The sequence below is a fragment of the Homo sapiens genome, chromosome 2, assembly GCF_000001405.40.
Source record: "Homo sapiens chromosome 2, GRCh38.p14 Primary Assembly".
In the NCBI taxonomy this organism is placed as follows: domain Eukaryota; kingdom Metazoa; phylum Chordata; class Mammalia; order Primates; family Hominidae; genus Homo; species Homo sapiens.
Genome location: NC_000002.12, coordinates 150490081 through 150496080, shown reverse-complemented (window position 1 = coordinate 150496080; position 6000 = coordinate 150490081).

Here is a 6000-nt window from a genome sequence, read left to right as displayed (position 1 = left end):
AAAAATTCATTTGCGATTACTGTACTCATTGTAATAAGGTTGACTTTTTCTTTTTCTGGAAGGAATTTAAGGATCATTTACATTTTCAAGATACAAGCAAAATTTTACTCTCCAAATTATAACCTCATTTTTTGCAGTCATTGTGTAATTTTAGAAAACGTAGAGATCTTGCTTACATCCCAAATTTCCTTTGGAAGACTGAATTTGCAGTCTAATACTTTGCTTATATTTTAATGCAAACTAATTTTTTTTCCACAGTAGTGAAGGACTCCAGGGCTGTTGTGTATATGGGAACAGTGAACATCGGGGACCTGGAATTACCCAAATAATTTGCTCTCCAGAGGATTTCTGTTATTCTTGCACCCATGCCCTAGCCTATGCCCCAGCCATTCTGGACTGTTACAGAAAGAGACTTTTATGATTAGAATTGCAGTTTCCAGAGTTTATTTATTCACCGGGGAATGTTTGAGAGCCCTGTGAAAAATTATATCCACATCAGCCAGTTTTGGAGGACTCAAGGTGTCTTATAGTCCATAGGCAATCTCAGGTAGGTGAGCTCCAGAAAACTGCAAAGTCTTCTGATTCTCTTTTTTCCAATGCTTTTTGACCTCACCTTCCATGTTAATTAAAATGGAAGGGTTTTCCAGGACTTCCATGTTAATTTTCTATAAGCAGGTGTTGTGAAGAAGGCACATAAACAGAGAGAGGCTTAGCAGGGAATAGCAGGGGAGAAGAAGGAGGACCAAGAAACATAGGCTGGGAAGCATTCAACAAGACTGTTGAAAATGCAAACTGAAAAGTCTGGGGGGAAAATTAAAATATGAATTCATGTATTTCAGACTTTTCTGGGAAGCACCATTCTTGGAAAGTTCCCAAGATATATTAATTGAGCAACAGCTAGTTAGCTTTTTTGGAAAATGCATCAAAGTTGAACGACTTCCATTGTAGTTTATAATAAATGAACTTCTCTTTTGGAATGCTAATATTTGCCTTTCTTGTTTTTTAGTAAAAACAAGATGCTTGATTCTTGTTTTTTAATAAAAAAAATGCGTTCACATTTCTTGGTTTTTTCCTTTCCTCACCATGCCAAGATTTCTGATGTACCACAAAATCCAGTTTCATATGTCTGTCTTAATTCTACATGAACCACCTTATGTGCCCTGGTGCCAATGTGTTAAGAGCCATGAGTGACTTCATCTATTACTAACTTAGACTTCTATATGTGGGACTTGATGACATGTGGTACTCAGGAAAGCAGTCATTTGATTGATTCCATAGTGTAGCTGTGACAGTGTGGAAGCACTATGGGGCGTTTAGAGGCAGCATGAAGGCTGTATAAGCCTGAACAAAATGTACTGGCATAAATCCTCAGTAAATATTTATTAAGATCAATGGCTTCATACAATGTCCTCACGATAGCTTTTTGCTCTGTTAGAATTAAGATAAATTGTATTATTGATGTATTAGGACCTCCTCTTTGCTTTTAAAGCACAGGACAGTAGTTTTTTTTCTCATATAACTTATATACCTTCCTAGTCACCAGAAATGGCATCAAAATGCTTTCATATTCCTTTAATCTATGGCCAGTCTGCCATGGGTTGGTAACAACGACGTGACCTACAGAAATGTCTTACATAAGAGCCAGAATCAGATTGTGATGAATCATTTGACCTCTGCTTATGTGGCCAGTGTTAAGGTGTTAACAGTCAGTTCATAATCATATCCAACAGTTATCAATAAGTAATACCTCAGCTAGCACTGTAAAAATCAGTGAGGACTAAGTCTACACAGCTTTTCAGAGAGCATTACTAGGAGCTTGTGATGGAAAAGGGCACAGCAGACCCCCAAGACTAGAAGATGTTTATAGAATGCAAGATTATTGTCGGCCACTGATGAAAGAATACTTTTCTTCTCCCTGACATACTTTTTCAAAAATAAGTGGTTGCAAGCCTTATCTAGATCTACATTACCTTAGATATTCTTGAGTGCTATTTTGAGCATTTGGGTATATTTTCCATGATGCCCTCTTCCCCCAAACTGGTGTCCTTCAAAGGAAAGAATAAGATTTGGGGTTTTATTATATAGCCTGGATATAAAGAAAATTTAACCAGATAATTTAAAATAAAAACAAAGTATTTTAATAATTAAAAGAAAATAAAATAATTTTGTTCCCATTTCTGTGACAAAAAGAACGAATCAATACTGTCATATTTCTACTGTCTTTATCAGGTAAGTCATAAACTGATTGGTAAGTGTAGCTGGCTGCTACCAATTTAGTTGAAACTATGATCTGAATTACTGAATCAGCTCTGCTGAAGTCAAATCAGTTGTGTCAAAAGGAAACATTACCCTCCGCCCACCAAAAGAATAATAAACTGGCCGGGTGCAGTGGCTCACGCCTATAATCCCAGCACTTTGGGAGGCCGAGGCGGGCGGATCATGAGGTCAGGAGATCGAGACCATCCTGACTAACATGATGAAACCCCGTCTCTACTAACAATACAAAAAATTAGCTGGGCATGGTGGCGGGCGCCTGTAGTCCCAGCTACTCTGGAGGCTGAGGCAGGAGAATGGTGTGAACCCAGGAGGCGGAGCTTGCAGTGAGACAAGATTGCCCCACTGCACTCCACCCTGGGCAACAGAGAGAGACTCCGTCTCAATGATGATGATGATGATAATAATAATAATAATAATAATAATAAACAACTTGTCTAGAGCAATGATTTTCAAATTCAGTGCCAGGAAACGCTAGTGAGCCATTATAACCTTTGTTCACAGGTTACTCAGGATTTAAGTTATAATACTGACTTTTAAATAAATATGACAGAGTACAAGGTTTAGACATCTCTTTATAGGTTTGCCATCAAAATTTTTGCAGTCTCCCCTCTCATCCTGGGTATGGTGTCCTAGAGATCATCTGTATTTTTTCTTTGTTGGTTGGTTAGTTTTGCCAGTCAAAGTAGTAGCCCATGGCCCAAACGTATTTGACAACTACTCTTCTACAGAACATGTTGAGTTAAATGCTTTAAAATCTACTCTCTGCCTTTGCCCAAGCTAATGACTCTCTTCAAGGTATCCTAGCCATTGTTTTCTGTTTCCTCACTTTGAGTTCAATAATATTAAAGTAGTGGCTACTAAGTTTTTTTTTAAGTAAGCTTGATCTAACAATTACTGCTTTTTTTAATTAAAGTAACACTGACCTCAACCAAGTTTTCACATTTTTTGTTGTTGTTATTTCAACAGAAGGGGCAAAAATTTCCACATAAGATCTTTCTAGAAACTTGATAGGACATCTTTAAATCTTTCTTTTAAGCCTTAGATTAAAATATTAAATGCCACTTGACTGTGCACATAGCCATAAATAACTCCCCTCAGTGCATCTCATCAGCTTGGCAGTGAAGCTCTGGCAGTCTCCAAAAGAAGTTCTAAATGGTGCTCAGTAATAATCTCTGTTTTCCTTTGACTACTCCTAAAATACTGGAAAAGGTGTATCTTTGGAACATACTACATGCTTCAAGAGAATAATGTATAAAGAACTCATCCTTAAAAATGTTTTCTTAGGGCAATTCCTTAAATATTTTTCATATCTCACTGACAAATTGACATAAAGTATAATTGGGTGTTTAGTAGATAAAGTAATCAATGGGTCTGATAGTTTTATATTTTTGTTTGTTTTCTTTACTTAGGAAATACTGAAGTATAAACAAATGGCATCAGGCATCAAAGATCTGAAATTTGAAGAGGCAGGTGGAAAGGGTTATTTGTGCCCTATAATACACAGAACCAAAATCATGTGGTCTGGGTTTCTAAAGAATGCAACGGACTATTTGTTAAATTAACTATAAACAGAGAAAGGGATGATCAATTTCAAAATGACTTATTATTCAGTACTCACAAAGTTGTGTCATTTCCTCTTGGCTAAAGAGTGAGGACTAAGTCAATACAGCAGCAGTTAAATCATATTCGCAGTTAGCATTCATGAGAAAAAACAAGGCTGAATGTTTCAACCCAGACTGGAGTGCTCTTACCACACAGCCTAGACAACTTAGTGCAGTGTCCTTGAGAGGGCAAATAGGCATAATTTTAAGAGAAAATAAAGGAAAAGATTCTCTTCCAAGAAAACAGATTCTTCCTAAATAACCAGTTCAATCCATTAAATTGTATGAATGTTCTTTCCTCAATTCCTCACTTCAAAAAAAAATGCCTTCTATTTTGTTGATGTTTTATAAGACTGAGTGATCACCCTCTTCTGACCACCCCAAAAAGAGACAATTGTGAAATTGCCACCTTTCAGTACAGAGCAGTTTACAAGTTTACACGCTTGTCTTTAATTTTGTATTGAAATGCCTATATTTGAAACTATTTAATATCTGTCATCTTATTAAATTCTCAAAGAGAATGCCCATGACTCATATCCATATTTTGTGACATAACATCTATGAAGGCATCCTGCACGTTTTCTTGCTTTGATGTCAGCCATCTCTCTGCTCCATTGATGATGCCTATAAGAAACCTGTGCTTCCTCCTTATTATGCACTTGCTCCTTCAAACACTTCTGCTGGAGTCTGAAGAGAGGCAGGTGACTGTGAATAAACTATTGGGATTATGCCTTACAATATTCCACTGTGGGCCAAGATCTCCATAAATACACTGAACATGAAAAGGGGGGTGCCTTTAGTGTGTTTCTAAAGAATAATTTTGGAAAGTGCAGGGCACGTGATTTTTTAAGCAGTGCTATTGTGCAGCTTAAAGGAGGCAGATGTTATCATCCTCACATAAGGATGAAACTGCGGAAAAGAATTTAGTCAGTGTTCGCCCAAGGACAGATAGTTCATTGGTTTAGCCTGGACTAAAACCCAAGTCCCTGACTTGTAGTCACTCAAATCTCAGAAACAATTGTTTATCAGTCTTGTGCTATCCCTAGATGGGAAGTAGATGGGTACTCTTTCTCAATTGGTTCTCTCTCCAGGCCTGGAATCAGCCCTTTTTGTGTCAAAGGGTATGTAGTTTCTATGGGAGGGGAGATTTCCTCTGGTAAGTAAAGGGTTAGCCACAAAGAAAATAATTTTTGAACTCAAACCTTTTAGGGCACCTGAATGTGTTCTATTAACTAAATCATAGAGAAATATTTACTATTGGTTTTCTGTTCTCTTGGTCTTAAGGATAAATGAGAAAAAGGAGAGAGTAATAGGAAGACAAGCAAGAATCACAAAAGGAAGCACGCTAGGTAATATACGATCCTCCCAGGTAAGGCGTCACATTTTCTAAATGAACGTGTTTCTTAGGGGAAAACCTTTTATTGCAGTCTAAAATTTTAGTCTTTTCCAGGAATTTAGGTATACTTGGATCCCATATTCTCATTGAAGATGAGCAGTTTCATCAAGGTTTCACAGCTAGTGAGTGACAGTGCAGACGAAGAACTGGAGTCATTCATTCATTCATTCATTCATTCATTCATGTAATCATGCTGCTACCCTGTTCCAAGTCCTGCCATGACTGACTTCACATTACCCTGAGAATGAAATCCAAATTCTACAGCCAATTATTCAGCCCCTGCCTGCTTCCTTTTGCTCCCCGACCTACACTCTCCCTCCTTCAGCAGGCCCTAGTCATTCTGGCCTTTCTTCTATTCCTCAAACCTACCAAGCCCTTTCCCTCCAGCCTGTAACCTTTCCACTGTCTGTGAGCATCCTTCTGCTGGACCATGGGTCTGATCCCTACCTTACTATGCTTTAATAATGCCGTGCCATGTTTTCTATGAAGAAAAACATGGGGTGATCTTACTTCTTTATTTACTGTCTATCTCCTGCCTGGAATGTATGCTTTTTGAGAGTAGCAAACAGATCTGTCTTGTTTACTGCTCTATCTGCAGTTCCTAGAACAGTGCCTGGTTTACAGCAGATGCTGAGTAAGTAATTGTTAAACTAAATGTTAGATGAATTTTAAAATATATTAAGTATCCACTTCACACTGAACACTAGAGATTTTAAAAAGGAAAAG